The 25,319-nt window shown below is 38.0% G+C and overlaps 2 protein-coding genes and 1 pseudogene across 8 annotated transcripts in view, besides 3 other annotated features; 2 read left to right on the forward strand and 1 right to left on the reverse strand.

Moving 5' to 3' along the window:
* Positions 1-9,042, reverse strand: part of METTL4 (methyltransferase 4, N6-adenosine) — a 33,976-nt gene extending 24,934 nt beyond the window's left edge. For 6 of the 7 annotated variants that reach the window (XM_011525730.4, XM_005258132.5, NM_001308401.2 and 3 more), the window contains exons 1-3: positions 8,686-9,042; positions 4,358-5,191; positions 1,334-1,396 (exon numbers count right to left, since the gene is read on the reverse strand). In XM_011525730.4, coding sequence (XP_011524032.1) covers positions 1,334-1,396; positions 4,358-4,753 — 459 coding nt within the window. In that variant the 5' untranslated portion in view covers positions 4,754-5,191; positions 8,686-9,042. The remainder of the gene's footprint in view (positions 1-1,333; positions 1,397-4,357; positions 5,192-8,685) is intronic. The other variant, XM_005258133.4, reaches the window with a different exon arrangement.
* On the forward strand, positions 6,312-6,659 carry LOC100128926 (ubiquitin-conjugating enzyme E2 variant 1-like; annotated as a pseudogene).
* Positions 8,135-9,057: an enhancer, noted in NCBI's record as "NANOG-H3K27ac-H3K4me1 hESC enhancer chr18:2570597-2571519 (GRCh37/hg19 assembly coordinates)". NCBI's record gives its function as "activates a minimal SCP1, AML or CMV promoter by ChIP-STARR-seq in naive H9 embryonic stem cells {active_cell/tissue: H9 hESC(naive)}" and the evidence as "EXISTENCE:reporter gene assay evidence [ECO:0000049][PMID:30033119]".
* Positions 8,135-9,099: a biological region, named in NCBI's record as "NANOG-H3K27ac-H3K4me1 hESC enhancer GRCh37_chr18:2570597-2571519".
* Positions 8,940-9,099: an enhancer, noted in NCBI's record as "active region_13023". NCBI's record gives its function as "activates an Ori minimal core promoter by ATAC-STARR-seq in GM12878 lymphoblastoid cells {active_cell/tissue: GM12878}" and the evidence as "EXISTENCE:reporter gene assay evidence [ECO:0000049][PMID:35858748]".
* NDC80 (NDC80 kinetochore complex component) overlaps positions 9,094-25,319 on the forward strand; it is a 45,079-nt gene continuing 28,853 nt past the window's right edge. The window contains exons 1-7 of the mRNA NM_006101.3: positions 9,094-9,220; positions 10,514-10,623; positions 12,526-12,603; positions 15,283-15,406; positions 15,506-15,678; positions 16,464-16,566; positions 22,650-22,739. Coding sequence (NP_006092.1) covers positions 10,523-10,623; positions 12,526-12,603; positions 15,283-15,406; positions 15,506-15,678; positions 16,464-16,566; positions 22,650-22,739 — 669 coding nt within the window. The 5' untranslated portion in view covers positions 9,094-9,220; positions 10,514-10,522. The remainder of the gene's footprint in view (positions 9,221-10,513; positions 10,624-12,525; positions 12,604-15,282; positions 15,407-15,505; positions 15,679-16,463; positions 16,567-22,649; positions 22,740-25,319) is intronic.

The raw sequence follows: 25,319 nt of genomic DNA on the forward strand, positions 1-25,319 counted from the left end.
CTTGTACACCAATGTTCACAGAAACATTATTCATAATAGCCAAAATGTGGAAACAACCCAAATGACCATGAACAAATAAATGAATAAACAAAATGTAGTATATACAAACAATGAAATATTATTCGCCCTTAAAAAGGAAATTCTGATAAATGCTACAACATGGATGAACCTTGAAGACATTATGCTAAATGAAATTAGCCAGATACAAAAAGATGAACATTGTATGATTCCACTTATATGAAATATCTACCATAGGCAAATTCACAGAGACAGTGAGTAGAATAAAGGATACCAGCAGCTGGGGGACGGGGGGATGGGGAGTTATTAAATAATGGTAGAGTTCCAGTTTGGGATGATGAAAAAGTACTAGAGATGAACAGCAGTGGTGTGGTACAACATTGTGAATGTATTTAATGCCGCAGAATTTTACACTTAAAAATGGTTAAAAATGGAAAATTTTATGTATATTCTACTACAACAAGAAAGAAAGGGAAAAAAAACCCAGGGTTCTACCATCACATTAATTCAACAAGACCGAATTCCAGACTGAATTTTGCCATTTCAAAGGTGCTCCATGGAAAAAAAAATTAAGCTTAAAATATTTGTGTTCATTCTGTTTCTTCTCATTTCTTTAACTCTCTGATCTCATTTATCGCTATGTTCTAGAAACATATCCTTCACATTACTCATGCTCTCTTCTGCCACTCTCTTAATATATTGTTTTATCTAGACAATAGGATTTTATAATCTCTAAAATCTCTAAACTTAACCAATATAGCATAAGTTTACTTTGTTAAATATTTAAACTAATAGAAGTACATGAAGTTTCAATAAAAACTGGTTTAGGCTGGATGCAGTCGCTCACTCCTGTAAAATCCTAGCACTTTGGGAGGCTGAGGCTGGCGGATGGCCAGAGCTCAGTAGTTTGAGACCAGCCTGGCCAACATGGTGAAACACCATCTCTACTAAAAATACAAAAAATTAGCAGGGCATGGTGGCACACGCCTATAATCCCAGCTACTCAGAGGAGGCCAAGGCATGAGATTGCTTGAACCCAGGAGGCAGAGGCTACAGTGAGCTGAGATCACACCACTACCACTCCACTCCAGCCTGGGCAACAGAATGAGACTCTGCCTCAAAAAAAAAAAAAAAAAAAAGACAAAACTGGTTTAAACTGTGCATTACTATAAAATTAACAATAAATATATTAAGTGCTAAGCCTGATCAAAATGATTGCTTGATTTTGAAAAAAAATCCTTATTTATGTTGTCCATTTATTTTCTACTACTTCACATTAATCTTCCAATGTGATCAATGAACATTTTACACTTACCTTTGTATGGTATTCCATAGCATCCAATTCACCTTGATTGAAAACAACACATCTTTTACGCTTCTAAAGGGTAGATCAATTACAGGGGAAAAGTTATGTTGCCATTAATATTTTGCTTTTTCATTATAACATTATTTATGTCTTATATCTGTCTAATAATAATTAATAATTAATAGTAGTAATTGTCTACTGAGGTCAAAATCAATGCAAAGGGTATGGAGTGAGGAGGTAAGCTTTCCCAAAGTAAATTAAAAACAACAACATAAACAAAATGGATTGTAAAAGGTCACCTCAGCTTTATCTGCTATTAATAAGAACTAGTTCTGGCCGGGCACGGTGGCTCACGCCTGTAATCCCAGCACTTTGGGAGGCCAAGGCGGGAGGATCACGAGGTCAGAAGATCGAGACCATCCCGGCTAACATGGTGAAACCCCATCTCTACTAAAAATACAAAAAAAAAAAAAATTAGCCAGGCATGGTGGCAGGCGCCTGTAGTCCCAGCTACTTGGGAGGCTGAGGCAGGAGAATGGTGTGCGAGACTCTGTCTCAAAAAAAAGAACTAGTTCCACATGATAAAGTGTAGCATCAGCACCCATGAAATACAAGGAAACTATGACACCGTATGAAGTTACCAGTGCCATCTATCACTTTATATATGGTATAGTTATTCTCAATTTCCTTTATTTCTGAGAAGAGAAACTAGCCAGGTGCTATCATCAAAAGAAATTCCAATGTGCTTATGACTGATGAGGGTTAGGTATGAATCAGATTTATATTGACACTGTTCTATATCTAACAATATAGAGTAAGGACTTAGTACTTTTTATGGCTGAAACTCCAGTGCTTACCTTGTGTCAAACTCTTAGCATGCTAACAATAAATGTCTGTTGGCTAAATAAATAAATGGACTTAATATTGTATAATTTGCTTTAGCATATCAGAAGGTGTCATCAAGATTACATTTATTACATAGGTTCATCTATTTTTTTCCATGTTATAAGAAATTTACCCAACCTGAGAGATTAAACATTAAAAATTAATGCCCATACCCTGTAAACTATAAAGTCCTTTACAAAGGCTTGTTATTATCTGAATTACTTATATTACAACATACTATTTTACTAAGACCTCGGACAATGCTAAATATTTTCTTTTCTGTGTGTGACACGTAGTAAATGATCAATAAATATTTGATGAAAGGAAAAAGGGGACTGGGCATGGTGGCTCACACCTGTAATCTCAGCACTTTGGGAGGCCGAGGCAGGTGGATCACCTGAGATCAGGAGTTCAAGACCAGCTTGGCCAACAAGGTGTCTACTAAAAATACAAAAAATTGGCCGGGTATGGTGGTGGACACACATAATCCCAGCTACTCGGGAGGCTGAGACAGGAGAATTGCTTGAACCTGAGAGGCAGAGGTTTCAGTGAACCGAGATCACGCCACTGCGCTCCAGCCTGGGAAACAGAGCAAGACTCCGTCTCAAAAAAAAAAAGGGGGATCAACACATGAACACACAGAGGGGAGCAACAGATACTGGGGCCTACTGGAAGATGGAGGTCAGAGGATGGGAGGAGGGAAAGGATCAGGACAAATAACTAATGGGTACTAGGCTTAATACCTGGGTGATGAAATAATTTGTACAACAAAACCCCATGACACAAATGTATCTATATAACAAACCTATACATGTACCTGTGAACTTAAAAATTAAAATTAAAATTAAAAAAAAGAAGAATATGCACAAGAAAAAAGTCACAATATTAAAAAGTTCCATTTCAGAAAATGTATTTTCTTTATTACTTTCCTTATTCTAATTCTCAACAAACTTTCGTATTTAATATCTTTCTTCTTCACCGAATTATAAGATCCATCAGGGAGGGATTATGTTTATCTTGTTTCATCACTCTGCATACAATGGCACATAGAAAGAGCTCAAACGTTTGTTCGGTGAGTAATGAATGTTAATCCTATCACTAAAAAAGAAAATGTTGAGGCCGGGTGCAGTGGCTCAAGCCGAGGTGGGCAGATCACGAGGTCAGGAGATCAAGATCACCCTGGCTTAACACAGTGAAGCCCCGTCTCTACTAAAAATACAAAAAATTAGCCAGGCGTGGTGGCAAGCGCCTGTAGTCCCAGCTGCTCGGGAGGCTGAGGCAGGAGAATGGCGTGAACCCGGGAGGCGGAGCTTGCAGTGAGCTGAGATAGCACCACTGCACTCCAGCTTGGGTGACAGAGCAAGACTCTGTCTCAAATAAATAAATAAATAAATAAATAAATAAATAAATAAATAAATAAAATAAACAAATAAATAAAAATAAGTAAAAAAGACAATGCTGATATCAGATATCTAAAATGGACTTTGTAAAATCACCTCTAAATTCCTGAAAGAGATAAAAAGTATTAAAGCATAATTAATTTGATCCTGTATGGCATTCCCAAAACTCTACTAAAAGATTGCACCAGTGTGAATATACAAATACATATACTTTACAAACGGGTATATTTACCACAGGAGCTTTCTACTTGTATCACTAGAAACTTTTAAAACAATCACCCTTCTTACAAACTTTTATTACGTATCTCCAAGGGATAGCTCTCTAAAAACCTCCGAAATACCACTTACTGCTTAGAAATTTTGTAGAAAAACTTTTTTTTTAAAGCAAAAACAGTTGTAAACATATTCAATTAATACAAATGCCTAATCAAGAAAAGGGTTTTGGGGGAGTTTTTTGTTTGGCTTTTTGTTTGTTTTTTTGCTGTCTGGGTTTATTTTCTTTGCTTAATTTACAGAGAATTCACTTCCCAGCCAACTTTGCTTATTTTTGAAATACTATGCAATTTGGTCTTCTAAGAATAGTTGAAGCTAGAAAAAAGCTACAAATTATTTCAGATATGCTAAAGCCTTTTTGGGTTTTACTGATTCTTCTTTATACTTAACGAATCACCAGATATTTAAGACATTTAGATAATAAATCTCAATTATGTTTTCTGGAGAAAAATAAATATTTCTTAAAACTTTCTACCTTCCCAATAATAGAAATGGAGATTTCTTTTTTAACACCATTCATCAGATCTTCCTTTTCATTACTTTGCTGGCATTCTTTATGAACAGCTGGAGTTATATAAGGTTTGGTGACATCAAACAGTTCAGGTCGAAAAACAAATTTTCGTGTGAACATTTCATAATTTCCTCCATCATCATTCTCTGGCTTAGTGGAAGAGTCAGAAGCAATAAATGCAGCACAGACTCCAGAGGAGGACACAGAATCCATTTGAAGAGACTCAAAGTGAACAGAAGTAGTGAACTCCTTTTTACGGCAACAAGGTTCATGATGCTGGTGAAGTTGATAGTTTATCTTGTTGATAAAAGAAAGATGATCCAGTAACCACCCAGCTGACAACTGGTGTACCACAGACATTCCCTTCCTTTAAAAAAGCCTCTGGGAATTAGGAACTAGAATGAAAATCCAACTTTCCAGATCAGCTTCTTAAATATCTTGTATTTCAATAAACATACACTTCATACACACAGATAGATTTGATATACAAGTACAAAAACCTGACATGCACATTGAAGAGAATTTATCATTCATGATGTTAATATATACAGAAATTCTAAGGAAAATTGCAATGTTTTAATATAAACTTTCTTTTTAATTTCAGAGTTGATAATTCAACATTTTCAGCCAAAATTTGGCCAAAGGGGGTTAAAACCTGATCTTATGTCTGGAATCCCAATGTGATCCTCCTGTCTTCCTGGGCCCCCCACGACTTCTTGCTTTGGTCCTTGGGTCTAGCCACTAGGTCCACATCCTCCAAGTCAGGAAGTCATTGAATCCTTAAAAGGACAAAGTAGCCTGTAAAAGCAAAGAACACTACATTAGCTACGTGAATTCACCCTTTTTAATGAGATAAACCTATCTAGAGAGGGGCATAGAATTTCAGAAGGTGCTGTTAGCAGGTAATCCCTCGTTTTTGCAAACTACACTTGTCATAGTAAGTCAGCCCATTCTCCAGTATCATCTTCCCTACTTAATCACTACTACCAATGGAGTAATAAGGTAAAAAGAAAAAATTGTTCTAGTCAGAGAAAATGCAATTTTACCAGCACATCAGAAGCACTAAACCCTAGCAAAACCGCAAGGTTAAGAGTCTAGATCTGTAATTGGTTCTGAGCAGTACCCCTTGGATAACTAGGTTTCTCAGAACTAACCTTTTTTCAAAAGATGGATTAGAGTTCTAGATATTGCTTTCTAAATCCAGTGCAGTGGAGAACTTAAGAGGGGACAGAATAAGAAATAAATGAGTGCTTAATGGCACAATTAATAATCACAGCATTTAGATTCAAATTTCTAACTCCATGAGTGAGATTATGATGTACATTGGTTTTCATCCACAGTTCCTGGCTCACCGCCCCTGTAGCCTTACTGAGTGCAGGGATGAAGGCTGAGTTGATCACCAGTGACCAATGATGTAATCATTCATGTCTGTACAATGAATTTGGGAGATGTGACACTATCTAAAGATAGAAATAGTGTCAGAAATGAATTAGAGGGAAGAAGGGGCGAGCCTAAGAGTGACAGTGACACATGATGGCAGTCACCACAGGCTCAGGAGTAGGAGTACCTCTCAATTTCCAACTGTTGGAAGAACCTGAAGGTTAGAAAGGAGTGGCTGGGCATGGTGGCCCACGCCTGTAATCGCAGCACTTTGGGAGGCCGAGGCGGGCAGATCCCCTGAGGTCGGGAGTTCAAGACCTGCCTGGCCAACATGGTGAAACGCTGCGTCTACTAAAAGTACAAAAATTAGCTGGGCTTGGTGGCATGCGCCTGTAATCCCAGTTACTCAGAAGGCTGAGGCATGAGAATCACTTGAACCCAGGAGGGAGAGGTTGCAGTGAGCCGAGACTGCACTACTGCACTCCAGCCAGGGCAACAAGAGTGAAACTACGTCTCAAAAAAAAAAAAAAAAGGGAGTATGAGATGGCACAGATAGCTAGAGTCTAGAAGATGATAAAGACATGACACTTACCAAATGGACAGGGATGATAATTGGGCCTTCAAGAACAATTTACAAAAACTGAATATACAGCTTTAAAATAGAATGTGGACCTAAATACCCAGCAGCACTCCCCTTTGTAAGATGTGTAACAAAAATTAATGCTATTCTAAAGGAGTGGTGGACTCAAGAGCCATTTCAGTGCTAGCTAAATAGCAGAATTCAGATAGCATCAAAGTTGTCTTGGAAGAGGTTGAACAGCTAATGACATCTAAAGAAAACATGAAACTCCCTCAGCAGCCTGAAAGACACTGTTACAGTAATTAATCAAAAAGAAAAACCATAGTCCCTTTTCCCCACACCCATTCAATTTAAGCAGTCTTCATTTTCAACAGTAGTAAATTTTCTAGATACATCTTGTAGACCTCACAGTACTAGAAAGGATGCTCCTATTCAAAAGAAATGTATCTTAAGATACTGTGAATGATACTAACTTTTTTGTCCATTTGAATTATGTAAGTTGTGCTATAACAAATCATCCTGTCAAGCGACAGGATCAAGCAAGTATATTTAAATTGATTCCCATCATAACTGGTGGGGTACATCTAATTCAACTGTGGAAAGACCACACAATCACCTTGCTTCTCCTTACATGGCCTGGAGTCTCCGCCTTCTCCCCCTACCGCTCTCCCTTCCTCCCACCCCCACCCACTGCAACAGCCCTCTAGCCTGGGAGGCTTGTTAGAGTAGACGTGAAGATCACAGCCTGTGGGACCACTGCTGAGTGTGTGGGCACTCAGTTTAAGTATTCAGTGATGCTCCTTCCAAACCACTGTCCTGTCCCCACCTCTTCCACTCCCACCCTTGGCCAAAGCACAGATCATAAGCCCTCTGCTCCGCTCCCCTCTGAGATTCGCCTTCCATGAGGAATTCAGGGCTTTCCCCATATCTTCTCTTCCCCACCTTTATCAAGAGATGCTGCTCCCTCCCCGTCAAGTCTCTTTTTGCACTGTCACCACCCAACACTTTCCACGACACTTCTTTGCTTTGACCAGAAGCCATAAGGTAAGGTTGGAAGAACATTTATTCACTCTCCACCAGCCTAGGAAATTAATAGTGGGTCCTCAGCCCTGCCACCTTCTGCTGTTATCATCAGCCTTTTAACTCAGGTTTTGATATGGTGAAAAGAGTCACCAGGGTTATTCAGACACCCCGGCTGTCAGGGTCCTTGGTGGTTAAACCTGGGAAAAGGCCACATGAAGACAACTGTAAGCACACATGATCCCTCTGAATTGTTTTCTTTTCCTGCAATTGTGCTTGCTCTTAAAAATTGAAGTTTTAAACAGGGCTCACATGTGATCATCCTTCCATCTATTGGAGTCTAGCTTGAAATGTGACAACCGGAACCAAAAGAACCTTGAATTTGGTGCCTACTTTGGTTTTGGTGCTGCTGCTTCTCAAGATCCTCAGCAGGGATTAAGAAGTTGGGGTGCACAGCAGGAATATCAGGAAATTGGCAGGCTTGACTTCCTGGCAAATTGCTAGCAGGACCACTAAATGCTGAACTGTACTGTGAATGTATACCGAAATACAAGCAATTATTTCTGTACTAAAGGTGTTTTTAATTTTGTATTTGTGTAAAACCACCTTTGGAAGCAGCAACTATCTAGTCAGAAAAGCAAATGATGTTTCCATTAATCTTTTCTGGGGAAAACATTAGTGCTAAGGATTTAACAATCTGTAGGTAAAGTTTAACCTAACAGTATTCCACAAGGAGACTTTTTATTATCAGACGGTTGCCTAATTTTCATATAATTTTTATATTAATATAATCCTTGGTTCCTCCCCATCCCCTTCATAGGCCACAGCTGAGGTGAAAAGGGTCCTGGAATGGCTAGTGAGAGCTAGAAATTCAGACGGGAAAATTGAAACTCAGAGCAGAAAGGCAAGCTGCCCAAAAATAACAACGCTAGTTAATGGCACAATTGCTACCAGACCCAAGTATCCAGACTTCCTGGAGCTGTGAGATCTTTCATCACCACCACTCTCCAGGTACCGGGCAGTGCCTGTTTCTGGATTCAAACTCACAGCAGCGAGGAAATCCTATTTTAGCAAAGTGATCTACTGTTACTGTTGTTAGTGCACCCCTCTCCTGCGTCTCTGCTTCACATCCACTCCCTCGCCGCCCGCCCCCAAACACTTGGATTCTTCCTAGCCTCTCACAGGTCAGCCACCACCAGAGGACCGTGAGCCTCCGGCAAGTGATCAAATACTGAGCCCGAATTTCGGCAGCCGTACCAACGCAATCCTGGGAGCCCATTCCACCCACTCCGCAGCCCCTCTCCCACCTCACCTCTTCCCTTGTCAGAAAAGCGGACGCCGCCTTCCCAGACTCTCCTCATGAAAACAGCACCCATCTAAATAGTGATCATGAAAAATGCCCCTTCCAGTCCACAGAGAAAAAGCTTTCTCCTTTTCTAAGAGTCCATGGGCGCCGCCATGTTGCTGTACGGAAAAACGTTTCCAGGGCGAGTTGAGCGTTCAGGGCACTCCTCGGCGCTCAAGCTGCCCACAGGTCTTCCGACCTAACTTTAGGGGTCGTGCCAGTCTTCGTAGAGACGGCCACACTGGCCCACAGACCCCAGTTCCTGGGGTGACGCAGCTGGGCGCGACCAGCACGCAGCCTTCCAGCGACGAGGCGGTCGCATGGAAGTTACTGCGCGCGTCGTGCGTAATGACGTCAGCGCCGGCGGAGAATTTCAAATTCGAACGGCTTTGGCGGGCCGAGGAAGGACCTGGTGTTTTGATGACCGCTGTCCTGTCTAGCAGATACTTGCACGGTTTACAGAAATTCGGTCCCTGGGTCGTGTCAGGAAACTGGAAAAAAGGTGACTGAATGACATCGGATTAACTTTGTTTCTGCAGAGCTGTTCTGGAGGAAGAAAGTGATGGCGCCAATGACTTAAATTTAGAGGTCCTGAGGCGATGTTTTGGTGTTTGTTTGCTGTTGGGAGAAGCCTCGAGGCCAAAACTGTGCGAGGCGCTGGTTTCACGGGATCTATTAAATTTCTAGTGGCAACGATTTCCCAAGGAGGAAAGGGGAGGGCCTGGGGGACACTGATGAGGAGTGGAGGCTCGGGAGAGGAAACGGGGAAGAATTGAAGGGGGCGGAAAGAGATGGACAAGAGAGGACTCGTTGGGTGGGTTGCGTCTGAATACTAGTGTAGCTTCTTATGGCCGTGTAGGACTGCGTGTAGAAGTCTTCATCTTAAATCATGAGAGCTACATTCTAAGTGGAGATTAAACGTGGACACACAGGTGTGAGTGGAAAAGTTGAATAGATGAACAAGCGCATATTGAAGAGGAAATAGGCGGCCAAAATCAAGAAGAGTCTAATCAGTGTAAAAGACTAAGGAGTACCCAGAGAAGTAAAAGGATTGTCACCTTCCTGAAAGCCAGGGCAGGACCTGAGAAGGCTGGGTGCAGAGATGAGACAGGATCAAAAGTTTTGTCAATCATGTGTATCCTAGGAGACAAATTTTTTAGCAGATGTGAAGGGAGTGACCTGTTAATGTGGTTTGTAAATGGAGGCAGCCTATAGACCATTTTATGGACCGGATGATTTATCCTTGTTGAAGGGGAGATTGATGCCAAAAGGGCAGTAATTGAGGAAACAATGGGTTAAGGACAGAGCAGGAGAGATTGACATTAGGAAAACAGAATAATTCCATTCTCTGAAACCAAAGAAAAGGAAACATTTTGAGGTGAATAAGAGAATTTGAGGTAATTTTTTTGTCTTCCTATTGAAATAGGCACAGCCAACAGCAGTAATGTGGTCTGGGTAACAGACAGGGCTTTAGCTACCACGGATACCCTTGTGAAGGCAAAAACCGTAACTTACTCGTCTTTGCATCTCCTGCATTGCCTAGCACACTCCCCTATATATATAGTGGGCAGTTAATAAATGTTTATGTTGAATATTTTTAAATGGAATTAAATAGATGTTCCTTGCAAATGAGAACTTCAGTGTACATGAACAAAAAAGAGATACCCCAGGGGAAAGATGATGATCTTGAAGAAACAATGAAACCTGACTGTCTTTCTGTTTAAGGATAAATAGTTGCTTAATGTACCATCTCTGTCTGGAAAGTTTTTTTTAAATACTGAATTCGTGAATGTAGGTCATAAGCATGAAGCGCAGTTCAGTTTCCAGCGGTGGTGCTGGCCGCCTCTCCATGCAGGAGTTAAGATCCCAGGATGTAAATAAACAAGGCCTCTATACCCCTCAAACGTGAGTATTTCCCTTGTGGTTCTAATTTGCATGCTTTATCATCTTAGGCAAAGAAATCATAAGAAATAGTTAATATAAAGATGTAATATGAGTGATGTCTTGGTGAATCTTGTCTGTTCCCAGGGGTACCTAATTTTGGATCAATGAAATCTAAAAGTGGGCATGATACTCTGCTAGGTGTTGTTTGTGTCATTTGTTTCACAAATTTCCAAAGCCAAATGCTTTACCAGGCACCCCCTAAAAGGACTGTTAATTCTTGTTCAGTACTCTCTTATTTTTCTCTTTTATTCTAGAGCTACTTGTTTAAGCAGGCTCTGTGCTGTAACTTAGAGTTCACTGAGATATTTCCAATTAGCAAAGCTTCAATCAAATCAGAGCAAAATTATTTGCTCTCATAAGGTATAATATAGTAGCAGCCTACAAAACACCACTCCTCCGAACTCTTTCCTCAAGATTTGCTGGAAAAATATCTGAAAGAACCTGCTGTCATAAACTATAGTTTTTCATTATGAGTGATTATCTTCCAGATAAGAGAAGGCTATTTGTAAGCCATTGTAGAGCTGTATAATTCTTCTCTAGTACCGAGGTACAAGTTACTTGCTAACTGTTTTTAAATTACTTGGATTTACATAGTATGAGCCTATGTTACTTTTAGAAATTTGAAATATTTATATATTTTTCCTTTTGAATACTGTAAACCAAGAAAATGTTTGTGCTGTTATACATTACTTATACCAAAAAAAGTTATGCCTTTAATTGTATTAGAAGCTAAAAGGTCACCATTGTCAATGTTTTTTTGCCTGCAGTTTAGATAATGTAATAAGTGCAGCTACATTCTAATACAGAGCAGGCTCTAAAAAAAAAAAATGTAAATGTGGTTAAGATAATGGAAATCATAATGTAGATAGGGTTTTTGTTCTGCAGAGAAGCAAAAGACTTAAATCTGCATAACAAGCCTTACCTTTGACCATTTTGTCTTAACTGGACTTCCTACCTACACTTTTCTTTCTCTTGGTAAATAAGTGAAATAAGCAGGGAACAGACAAACAGCACATGTTCTCATAGGTGGAAGCTAAAAAAGTTTATCTCATAGAAGTAAAAAATAAAATGGATGCTAGAGGCTAGGAAGCATAGGGAGAAGACGGAAATAGGGAGAGATCTGTTAAAGGACACAAAATTATAGCTAAATGGGAGGAATAAGTCCTGGTGTTCATAGCACTGTATAATGACTATAGTTAACAATAATATATTGTATAGTTTTAAATAGCTAGGAGAATATTGACTGTTCCCAACAAAGAAATGATAAATGTTTGAGATGATGGATATGGTAATTACTCTGATCTGATCACTGTACATTATATGTATCACAGCATCACTGTGTACCCCATAAGTAGGTACAATTATGTGTCAATTTTTAATTTTTTCTGTTAATAATTTAAAATCAGAAAGTAATAATAATAATGATATTTAGGCCTGAAAGTATGTTCTGTGTCTTTGGGCTACAAATTTTCTATCTTGTACTTTACCTTCAGGGTTTTTTTTTAACCTTGTTTTTACTCTTTGGAAATGCAAATTTAGGGTAGAAAATGTTTAGATAGTTATTAAAAATGAGATGAGTAAAACAGACCCTGCTGAGGTTAAAACGAAGACTAAATCTACCAAAGGGTACATACACCAGAGGGACCTCTGCTGGTCCCCCAACATTACAAGCATTATAACTTATAGTACCATGTTTAGCCCATCCTATTTATAACAGCTTTCATGACTGCTAAACATTTTTATGATTTTTGAATTATTTTTATAGCTAGTGGGGAAGAGTTGTTGGTTCTAATATATTTCTAAAAGTTTCTTGAGCTAATTTTAATTTTTATTTTAAAGAGTTGTTTTCTATTTTTCTTAAAGCAAAGAGAAACCAACCTTTGGAAAGTTGAGTATAAACAAACCGACATCTGAAAGAAAAGTCTCGCTATTTGGCAAAAGGTAATTATATTTTTCATTAGCTCTAATAAAGGGATTCTTATAGCCATACGTTGTTGCCCTCAGAGAACAAATACATTAGATGACATGGTTCCTTTCGAGAGAAAAGTTATAATCTAGTTTTCCTCTGATTTTAAATGGTTAAAATTTTAGTTTACATCTGCTGTAGACAGTGTAGCTAACACATTCAGACCACTATTTCATTGTTACAAGTAAATAGTTGATTGAAAATTCTATACCTAGCTTTCAGACACGGTGGAGTCATCGCATTTTAAAATAAGGAGTGGCCAGGCATGGTGGCCATGCCTGTAATCCCAGCGCTTTGGGAGGCTTTGCTTGAGTCCAGGAGTTCAAGACCAGCCTGGGCAACGTGACAAGACCCTGACTCCACATTTTTTTAATTAGCCAGGCAGGCATGCAGACCAGGTGCAGTGGCTCACACCTGTAATCCCAGCACTTTGGGAGGCTGAGATGGGAGGCTGAGATGATCTTGAGTCCAAGAGTTCGAGACCACCCTGGGCAACATTGCAAGACCCTGTCTCTACAAAAAAAAATTTTTTTTAATGAGCCAGGCTTGTAGACCGGGTGTGGTGGCTCACACCTGTAATCCCAGCACTTTGGGAGGCCAAGGCGGGCAGATCACTTGAGTCCAGGAGTTCAAGACCTAGCTGGGCAATATGGTGAAACCCTGTCTCTACAAAAAATACAATGATTAGCCGGGGGCAGTGGCACATGCCTGTAGTCCCATCTACTTGGAAGGCTGAATCAGGAGGATCAGTTGAACCCAGGAGGTGGAGGTTGCAGTGAGCTGAGATCATACCACTGAACTCCACCTTGGGTGACAGTGAGACTCTGTCTCAAAAAGAAACTTTTTTCAATTTAAAAATTAGCCAAGCATCATGGTGCACGCCTATAATCCTAGCTACTCAAGAGGCTTAGGCAGGAGGTTTACTTGAGCCCAGAAGGTCGAGGCTCCGGTGAGCCAGGTTAGCACCACTGCACTCCAGCCTAGGCAACAGAGAAACACCCTGTCTCAAAAAAATAAATGTAAAATGAGGAAACATTATCTAGTCCAACATTTTAGTCATTTTTACAGTCTAAAAGATTAATGAGAACTCCACAGAGCTTTTGTTTTATGGGCTATATCTGTCAAAATTAACCATAGTAGAAATTAAAACTGAGAAAAATTTAAAATATGCATTCAATTTAAAATAACAACCCATTACATGGTAACATAAATAACATGTTTTCAACTTTTAAAAAACATATTTTCAAAAATAAAACAATTTCAGTAAGAAGAGTGACATTGTTTTACGTTTTTGCAAATCTCTTATGGCTTAATAGCAGACAGCTAGATTCTAATACTTGCTTCTGCATTTAATCTGTTACAATATCATACATCATGTTACCAGCCTCTGGAAAACTCCACTGTACACTTGAGAGATTGAAAATGAAAAGAGCAAATAACATCTTAGTTTTATCATAAAAATAGTTTTGACTGCTCAGTGATCCTTAGACAACACTTTGAGAACAACCATCTATCTGGAGTAGGTCAGTGGTTGTCTAGGCTGCAGGTTGGAGAAGGATTAACTGTTAAGGGGCATAAGGAGACTTTGGGGGATGATAGAAATGCTCATATTTTGATTGGCATAAGTGACACAAATGCGTTTATTGTCAAACTTCATCAAACTGTATGCTTTAAACAGGCGCATTTTATTCTAAACAAATTATGTCAATAAAATAGATACCTTTAAAAAAAAGTTCAACCCCAAAATTAAGACAATAAATTATGTTGTTGTCTCACCAAAACAAAATATAACTTTAAGACAAACCTGTTTCTTCCATTCTTTTGAAAATATTTAGAGATGAAGTACTTGTCACCTTTTAAAAAAGTCTCTGCCATGAAACCAATTTGGTTTCATTGGTTTAAACTTCCATTTTTGGTATTTATTTCAGTTGATGAAAAATCTTAAGGTATTTTTGTAATGTAATTCATCTCAGAGCTAAACTTTAGAGATGATAGTAATTACAAAATCTAATATTTGTGGAGCATTCCTATAGGCCAGACATTGTTTTAAGTGCTTTATCTATATTAAATCTTTCAATCAATCCTCAGAACTGCCCTGTGAGAAGGTACTGATACTGTCTGCGCTTTTTTTTTTTTTTTTTGAGATGGAGTCTCGCTCTGTCGCCCAGGCTGGAATGCAGTGGCGCGATCTCAGCTCACTGCAACCTCTGCCTCGCCAGTTCAAGCAATTCTCCTGCCTCAGCCTCCCGAGTAGCTGGGATTACAGGTGCCTGCCAACACGTCTGGCTAATTTTTTTGTACTTTTAGTAGAGACGAGGTTTCACCATCTTGGCCAGGCTGGTCTTGAACTCCTGACCTCGTGATCCACCGCCTCAGCCTCCCAAAGTGCTGGGATTACAGGCATGAGCCACTGTGCCTGGCCAAGTGTGTGTTTATTCTTGCCTCGTTTTACATCCTTATCTTTAACTGCTGTAACCTCATATTTTACTCTTCGTTATTTGCTCCTTTTCTCTGCTTTAAATAAGAGAATTCTGTTTAGTTATAAGAACGTAATGTTTGATGTTGATGTTAAAATGCAAAACTGCCTTGAAATAATTTAGACTTGATCACAGAAGCAAATAGTTTTAACTGGCTGTTTAAAAATATATTTCCAGAACTAGTGGACATGGATCCCGGAATAGTCAACTTGGTATATTTTCCAGTTCTGAGAAAATCAAGGACCCGAGACCACTTAATGACAAAGCATTCATTCAGCAGTGTATTCGACAACTCTGTGAGGTACTTTAGGATTTTAATCTAAACTGTGATTGTTGTCATAGGTATTTTCCAATAATTTTCCATTACAAAACGTTTGGTGGTTCATAAAAATTATTGTAGTTTCTTACAGAAAATGGTTATGCACATAATGTGTCCATGAAATCTCTACAAGCTCCCTCTGTTAAAGACTTCCTGAAGATCTTCACATTTCTTTATGGCTTCCTGTGCCCCTCATACGAACTTCCTGACACAAAGTTTGAAGAAGAGGTTCCAAGAATCTTTAAAGACCTTGGGTATGTATATTTCTTATTAGTTTAGAGACATGACTGGCACACAGAGATGAAACAAATTAAATCAATTTGTAAAAAGTTTGAGTTACAGAAATAATATGTTTTAAGATGACCACTGTGGGCAATATATGTAGGATAAATTGAAGAGAAAAAAAGCAACTGCTTACAAAAAAACAAATAAAAATTGCTAGTGGTAGAAGCAAGAAGGATTAACAAATTGTTAGTAACTGATCAAGTTTGATGATGGGTACAGACGGATAAAATCCACTTTTCTTTGTTTAAAAAAAAACTACTCGTAGATTATTACAGAGCAACAGAAGACAGAATATAAAGCCCTGAACTGCTGAAGTGACAGAGAATAGAAAAGACAGACTGGATACCACAGATTTTACAGAAGCCAAAAACAAAAAAAAACAGGATTCACGCCTGGTGAAAACAGAGTGTGATGAAATTGAAAGTGGGAAGAATGGATTTGGAGGTGTACATACATGTCATTTATTGGGGGTATATTGAATTTGAGGGAACAAAAGATGTTTTGGGAGAGTAGTCCAGCATATTGGTTGTATAGGTCAAGTTCTGCAGCTTCGGGGATAGATGTACAAAGTAATCTACAGAGAAATACACAGAGATAAGATGACTAAGGATAGAATCCTAACATATCTTACCTCTAAACAAGTCAAGACTGAGTGTGTATGTGGAATTTTTTAAATGTAACTTCTTGATTAACCATTATCTTTACTAAATTATAATAACATTAAATTAGCTTATGTTTTTCTGATTTCTCATAGGTATCCTTTTGCACTATCCAAAAGCTCCATGTACACAGTGGGGGCTCCTCATACATGGCCTCACATTGTGGCAGCCTTAGTTTGGCTAATAGACTGCATCAAGGTATTTGATTTGTTCTTTTGAAATGTATACATGGGAAAGGGTTTTTTTCCTCAAAAAAAATATTTTCTCTCCCAGTCTTTTGACAGTATTCTCAAAGTCTGCTTCAGAGTTTTCATTTTTCAAAGCACATTTGATTTTAAGTTTTTCAAACTATTATCACAAGGTAAAAGGAAGAAAGTACCAATTGATAAGGAGATTATTTATTATCATGAGGTTTTACAACTCAAAAAAATGAGTCAATAGGAAATTCATTTTTTATTTTCCCTCATGAAATTCGTTTTTACCCTTTTTAATTAAAATCCATATTCACTGCAAGAAGTTTGGAGAATACAGTGATATAACCATAATCTCCAAACTCAGACAATAACATAAAATGTTTCCTTGTGATATTTTGTTTTGTTTTGTTTTTTGTTTTTGAGAGGGAGTCTCGCTGTGTTGCCCAGGCTGGAGTGCGGTGGCATGATCTCAGCTCACTTCAACCTCCGCTTCCCAGGTTCAAGAAATTCTCCTGCCTCAGCCTCCTGAGTAGCTGGGATTACAGGCATGCACCACCATGCCTGGCTAATTTTCTATTTTTAGTAGAGACGGGGTTCCACCATGTTAGCCAGGCTGGTCTCAAACTCCTGACCTCAGGTGATCTGCCCGCCTCAGCCTCCCAAAGTGCTGGGATTACAGGCCTAAGCCACCATGACCGGCCCCTTGTGATATAGTTTAAAAGTGTGTGTTGCTGTGCAAAGTACTATATGTATGTTTTTTAAACTTTTGATACATACCGACAAATTTTTCTCTAGAAAACTTGTACCAATTAAAAGCTCAACAATGTTTGAGCATACCCATTTTTCCAAACTGTTAGCATTGTTGTTTTAAAATCTTTATCAATTTAGGAGGTGAAAAATAGCTTGTTTATATATAAATGTGTGTGTATATGTGTATATGTGTGTATGTATATATATTTAAACAATTTATGTTTTTATATGGTTATTTTTCTTTTAACTTGCTTGTACATGGTTTTTCAGGCAAGTTTTATTTCACCTTTGCTTTTTGCCATGAATTTGAATCTTTATATATTAAACTTACTGATGGTTTTAATAGTTGGCAACACAACAAGCAAAAAAAATTGACAGCTAATTTTTTCTTATTTACATTTTTTGTTTTTAAAGGTGAATTTTTTACATTTATTATAATATCTACTCTTCTGATTTTTTTTTGTGTTGATTTGCAAGGGTGCCATTTTGCAAGTCAAAAATGGTCGAGTCAGAGAAATTAGTTCCTCTCTATATGGTGCAAGCAATTTTTTTCTCTCTCTCTTTTTTTTTTTAATTTCATGTGCTGTTTTATCTGTTCAGAAATGTGAGTTTTTATCTAATTTAATGCAGTCTCTCCTTTTGTAGCTTCTGAGTTTCCTGTCCTACTTAGTGCTAGAATTCCTAAAGCTAATACTGTTCCCCTGACATTGTCTTGGCCATCAGCAAGGCTTTAACTAAATGAAGGCAGGCACTGGGTATATGGATTTTGACCCAGGAGCCATGCTGGTACATACAGTACCACCCATTGTCAAGAGAGTAGAATTCCAATGCCATAGCCCATTAATAAAAATCCAAGTTTCATTGGACTTTATATATAACATTTATGCATTCAATTTGTCTCTCCCCGGTGATGCCCATGGACATTTGATAACTACTTTTTTGGTCTCACCATCAGATTTTTTTTTTTTTTTTTTTTTTTTTTTTTGAGACGAGTCTCACTCTGTCGCCTGGGCTGGAGTGCAGTGGCACAATCTCGGCTCACTGCAACCTCCACCTCCCAGGTTCAAACAGTTCTCTGCCTCAGCCTCCCGAGTAGCTGGGATTATAGGCACCCGCCATCACATCCGGCTAATTTTTTGTATTTTTAGTAGAGATGGGGTTTCACCATCTTGGCCAGGCTGGTCTCAAACTTCTGACCTCGTGATCCGCCCACCTCAGCCTCCCAAAGTGCTGGGATTACAGGCATGAGCCACCACGCCCGGCCCTCCAAGCCCATTATTTAAGTTGGAATCCCCTCCTTTTTATATTGCTTTGCATGATGTGATGTATTAATCCGTGAGAGACTGCAGGTTTCTTTTTCTAATTTTCTTTCTTACTTAACATAAGCCTAGAAATTAAGCCACATTTAGGAAGGCCTTTTTTCCTCCCCAGTGTTTTTTAAAAACAATTTTACAAATTTTCTCGTAGTATTTTGTATGGCTTCTTTGTGCTGTGTTTAAATCTTAATTCATCTCCAATTTATTTTAGTATAAGAAAGAGAAGGCCTTCTTTTTTAAATAATTCACTCATGTATCACAGTCCCATTTATGGAAAAACTGATATTGGTCGGGCACTGTGGCTCATGCCTGTAATCCCAGCACTTTGGGAGGCTGAGGCAGGTAGATCACCCGAGATCAGAAGTTAGAGACCAGCCTGGCCAACATGACAAAACCCCATCTCTACTAAAAATACAAAAATATTAGCCGGGTGTGATGGTGCATGCCGTCCCGGCTACTTGGGAAGCTGAGGCACAAGAATCATTTGAACCCAGGAGGTGGAGGTTGCAGTGAGCCGATATCACACCACTGCACTGCAGCCTAGGCAACAGAGCAAAACTCCATCTCAAAAATAAATAATATTTTCCCCACAGTTTTGAACTGTCACTAGTATGTTCTTAATTAAACCTATTTCTCTGATCTTTTTTTTCTATCCCTGCTTCATGACCATACTAATTCCTGTCACTTTCTAATATATTTTATCTAGAAGATGAACATTCTTACTTCTTTTCACAATGTTAGCTATTGTCGTATCCTCACTCTCTAAATTATTTTTTCAGATTTTAACAAAATCTTGTGATTTTGTTATTATTGACATAACATTGAATTCATGATATATAAGGGGAAATTTCCATCCTGTCAATATTTAATCTTGTCATATGGGAAAGTGTTAAATCTCATTTGTTCATCTTTTTTGTTCCTTCATTAAGATTTTGTTTTTGTTTTTTCGTTCTATGGTGGTTTTTTGTTTGTTTGTTTGTTTGTTTGTTTGTTTGTTTGTTTTGAAACAGAGTCTTGCTTTGTTGCCCAGGCTGGAATGCAGTGGCATGATCTCAGCTCACTACAATCTCCACCTCCCAGGTTCAAGCAATTCTCATGCCTCAGCCTCCCAAGTAGCTAGGATTACAGGTGCCCACCACCACGCCCAGCTAATTTTTGTATTTTCAGTAGAGACAGCGTGTCACCATGTTGGCCAGGCTGATCTTGAACTCCTGACCTAAGGTGATCCACCTGCCTCAGCCTCCCAAAGTGCTGGGATTACAAGTGTGAGCCACCATGCCTGGCCATGTAGTTTTCTTAATATCAAACAACATATTTTTTATCAATGCCATGTGTTTTGTTACTATGATGAACAGACTCTCTTTTTTTAATTCTATTTCCATGGTGATTATTACTAAAAGAGTTTTTTGTGTTTACTACCCTTATTGAATTGCTTTATTACAACTACTGTTCTCAGTTGATTTCTATTACTAACCACTGTTTTTAAATTAAATATTTTTCATTGTATCGTTTAGTATGATATATTCAGTAGAAGATAATGTTTTGCATGTTGAAGTTTATTCACTTTTATCAAAGAATGATCTTTGAAGGTTATCCTATGCTTTTGCAGGATGTATTGAGATTATTCTTGTTATCTTGACCTATTGATCTAATATGTTGATTTCCTAATGACCTCTATTTGTTCATTGTTTATTATTCATTTGTTATGCTCCTAAATTGTTTGTTCATGCTTTGTAAATAAACTTTGATTTCCTATTTCACTATGCCTCCTTGCACAGAACTTGGCACATAATCAGTCCTTATTACAGTGTCTAAGTGATAATAATTTAGCTAAAGTTACTAAGTCTTCTCTACTAAGGACCATAAATAGGAGGGTTGCATACACTTCAGGAGCGTCTTGTTAGCCTTTTGGTTAGTGATCAAAGTGGACTTGGACCTGACTTATCCCAGATCCCTCTGTGTCCTTTTCCTCCTCTGATGTTTCACAATATTAAGAAGTGGTGTTAGAGTGGAAAACGCCACCTTTCAATGAAAACATGATTCAAATCTATACTTTTTATATCTATAATTACAGGTTGAAACTATTTCAACCAGTCTTCCTAGTTCACAATTCTTCAGTCCTTTCAGTAGTCTTTTCTATAGCTCTTGGGGATCTGTATGTCCCTGTGTAAGACTCTCCTTGAATCTTGCAAAGTAGCAAGAGTTTTCATAAGGCCCTTGGCAAGGTGACAGAAGCTGTCTTTACCCTGATGACAAGATATAAGATTCTGTTCCTTATCTTGGGTTCTGCCCTACATGTCTTTCAGACATTATTAAATCTGTGTGTTGGCCGGGCGCAGTAGCTCATGCCTGTAATCCCAACACTTTGGGAGGCCAAGGTGGGTGGATCACCTGAGGTCAGGAGTTCGACACCAGCCTGGCCAATATAGTGAAACCCCGTCTCTACTAAAAATGCAAAAATTAGGCATAGTGACAGGTACCTGTAATCCCAGCTACTCAGGAGGCTGAGGCAGGAGAATCGCTTGAACCCAGGAAGCGGAGGTTGCAGTGAGCCGAGATCTCAGCCACTGCACTCCAGCCTGGGCGACAGAGGGAGACTCCGTCTCAAAAAAAAAAAAAAAAATCTGTCTGCCACCTGAGGCCTTGTCGAAAAAAGACAAGGTAGAAGACCCAGTTGTTAGAGCTCTTCTGCATCCGCCTTAGATAAACAAAGAATCTTCTGAATGCCTTTAGAATAGGAAAGGGGTAGCAGGGCAAACAACTCTAGGCTGAGGACATTGTCTCCCTGAGAAATCCTGTATGCGAAACCCCATTCTTCTTTTATGTACTCCTAACGCATAGTCCTTTTCTTAGAAGTTAGTATTCTTATACTTAGTGTTCATTATACTATTAGATACCTATTGATATCTTGGCCAGGTGCAGTGGCTCATGATGCCTGTTATTCGCTGCATTTTGGGAGGCCAAGGCGGGTGGATCACCTGAGGTCAGGAGTTCGAGACCAGCCTGGCCAACATGGTGAAACCCCGTCTCTACTGAAAATATAAAAATTAGCCAGGCATGGTGGCTCATGCCTGTAATCCCAGGTACTCCAGAGGGGGAGACAGGAGAATCACCTGAACCCAGGAGGCAGAGGTTGCAGTGAGCTGAGATTGCACCACTGCACTCCATCCTGGGTGACAAAGTGAGACTCCGTCTCAAAAAAAAAAAAAAATACATATTTATATCTAGATATCTCTATATCAAGATAATAGATATTAATAGATAATATATTTATATCTAGTATATCTGTGTTTATATCTACATTTTTATATATTTATAGTAATTTCATTTAAATTTTCTATTTTTTCATGTTTTAAATGTTATGTTTTTAAAAGAAGATATAAAAACAGGCATTCCAAAATGGAATTTCTATGCCTTAAAAACCTTTAACTATTTTCCTTTTGGCTTGTCAATTTTAACCATCTGAATGTTTTGCTATAATTTATGTTATCACTTGCAGTTTAAACTATTGTATTTCTAAAGATTTTCTATTGTAAAATTTCATCTAAAGTTCATATTGTACATACTGAAGGAGTTACTCGATTAACATTTGAGCACCAGAATTGAGCTCAAAGAGAAAAATTATTATTGGCTCACCTTTTATGTGGCAATTCTGTTTTGGATTCTTAGTTAAAGTTGCATTAAAATGTGTATATTTGCACTTACTGGGTTAATAACAGCATAAAGGTCAACATTTTTCTCTGTAGAACAGAAGTAAATATAGAGTCCATCCTTTCTAGATCCTGAAGAGTTTAGTTACTAAACAAAAGGGTTTTGAAATTATCGAAAGGATACCTGCAAATTGTTTTATTCGAAAGAAAGTCAAAAGTGTTAATGTTCAATATAATAACCTATCAAAAGAGACTTTTAGTTACACAATAATGTAAATGCTTCTAAAATTGACACTGAAAACAGAATTTGCCAAAAAATGAAAGTTGTGTTTTTCAGATCAACTTGCTTTTCTTGCTTGTGTACTAATTAGATACATACTGCCATGAAAGAAAGCTCACCTTTATTTGATGATGGGCAGCCTTGGGGAGAAGAAACTGAAGATGGAATTATGCATAATAAGGTACCATGTATTATCATAAACTGTAATAATGAATTGCCTTGATATTATTGTGTCACTATTGGATTTAATACAGATGCCCCTCGACTTATGATAGAGTAATAAACCGACTGTAAGGTGAAAATATCATGTCAAAAATGCATTTAATACACTTAACCTGCCAAACGTCATAGCTTGGCCTAGCCTACCTTAAACATTCTCAGAACAATTAAACTAGCTTACAGTTGGGCAAAATTAATCTAACACAAAGCGTATTTTATAATAAAGTATTGAATAGCTCTTGTAATTTATTGAATACTATACTAACAGTGAAAAACAAAAAGGTTGTATGGATACTTGAAGGATGGTTTCTACTCCATTGCTTTTGCACCATCAGAAAGCTGAAAAATCTGAAGTCAAACCATCGTTAAGTCAGGGATTGTCTGTATATTCTTCTGTAGAGTTGTTTTTTTGCTTCCTGAAAACATTATAAATTTGTTTTTTTTAATATTAATGGATCTGTTTGAATCACATTATAATTTCTTAAAAATAACTAGGCACAAAAATTTGAAAATTTTAACTAAGTAAAAAATGGAAGGGGATTGGAATTAAATCATAACATGTTATATGTTATAGACGTAATGTTTCTTTTCCTCCTTTATGTCGTGGAATGAAGATATCAGTATTGGCAACATTATTTTAATGTAATTCTTTGTCAACACAAAACATAATAGGTTAAGTCTTAAGATATTGCACGTGGATAGGTTGTTTATTTTGTTTTGACCTTTTTCATTAGACATATTGCCCCTTAGCCCAGAGTCGCCACTTCCAAAAGTGGTTGAGATAAAGGAAACATTAAGATTATACATTAATACTTCCTAGCATACATAAAAAACTAGTCATCACATGGGCCACTTAGAAGAAAAACTATTCTCTGTTCTAATTCTAACCTTCATTCTTTGAAACTTTTGTCACAAAAGAAAAGTGGAAATAATTTCAGTCCCATCTTTTATGACTGCCTGGGATGTAGTTCAAAGATACATCAACTGACTAGTGTTGGCATCATTGCCTTTTTCTTTTTAACAAAAAATAAACATGCGCCTTTACTACTTCAACAATGATCCCAGTTGGAAAGGCTCCTAGAAAACCTTTGATCCCACCCTTGAGAAAATTATCCTCCCACATTGCAATATGTATATTGGGCTGCCTCTAATTACCCCTCAGTTTTCACCCAAGTACATTACAACATCTATTAAGTATTAAATGTCTTGCCAGACACAGTGGCTCACACCTGTAATTCTAGCACTTTGGGAGGCCGAGGTGGGCAGATTGCTTGAGCTCCAGAGTTCAAGACCAGCCTAAGCAACATGGCGAAACCCCATCTCTGCAAAAAGTACAAAAATTAGCTGGGTGTGGTGGTGCGTGCCTGTGGTCCCAGCTACTTGGGAGGCTGAGGCTGCAGGATCACTTGAGCCCAGGAGGTCAAGGCTACAGTGGGCCAAGATCATGTCACTGTACTGCAGCCTGAGTGACAAAGTGAGACCCTGTCTCAAAAAAAAAAGTGTTAAATGTCTTGACATCCATCCTAAAGGTTAAAAAATTATTCTTGCTCTCTGAGCTATTATAGCTATTATTTCAAATGACAATATATAGAGAAGCACATGGGAAACTATAAAGTACTCTTTGTAATTAAAGAAAGTTGTCAGAGTATCTGGCTTCACAAGTTTCCGATACTCAGCTTTGTGAGTCCACAAACTCGATATTTTTAAACCTATAAGATCAAAATTGACCAAGCTTAAGGAAACTGATTCAGTCTTAACCAAATTCACAGCAACTGATCTGAAGGAGAATGAAAATGTATTAATTTACCATCAGTGATACACCTTTCCAGTTACAGGAATACTCAGACTGCCTATTCAGGGTACTCACTTCAAGGTCACCTTAATAAGCAATGAATTAGCACAAAGGGAATTGGTTTGTCTTGAGGGATATTTACTTCATCTAAGGTATGGAAAATTCTGATCATCCATTCTTGCCTTCTCATAAAGTCTACATTCTCAGTGACCAAAACATCTCATGAATGCAAAATATAGTGTTATTTTCTCTTGGATAAATGTTAAGAATTCTAGTATTGTACTGTTTAGATTGCTACTCATCATGCAATTCATTTTTTAGCCTGAAGTTACAATGTAATTGTAGCCTTCATTAATTACATTTGGGTTTTTACAATTAGACCTTATCAATTCAATTGGACTTAGATGATCAGCAGTTTATTTAAATTTTTCATCAGGTGCTTTATTCCTAAAGATGATTAAGTTTGTGCATTTTATGTTGAATTACATTTATTAATAAGCTTCCCTGTTTGTTTGACCTTCTCAAAATTCTGAAGGTATGGCTGTTTTTAAATATTGCCTTTATCCAAATTTAAGTGTTATTTTATCCTCATTATTCATATTTAGAAGTAGCAGACTAAATAAGTCCATATAGCATAATTATATAGCCTAGGTTTTTGTCTCTTATTTATAGGTTCATCTGACTACTTAGTATTTCTGACTATTTTTTAAATTCAAATATAAATTTCCACCTAGAAAAGTGAAACAGACC

Source organism: Homo sapiens, chromosome 18 (genome assembly GCF_000001405.40).
Source record: "Homo sapiens chromosome 18, GRCh38.p14 Primary Assembly".
Taxonomy (NCBI): Eukaryota; Metazoa; Chordata; class Mammalia; order Primates; family Hominidae; genus Homo; species Homo sapiens.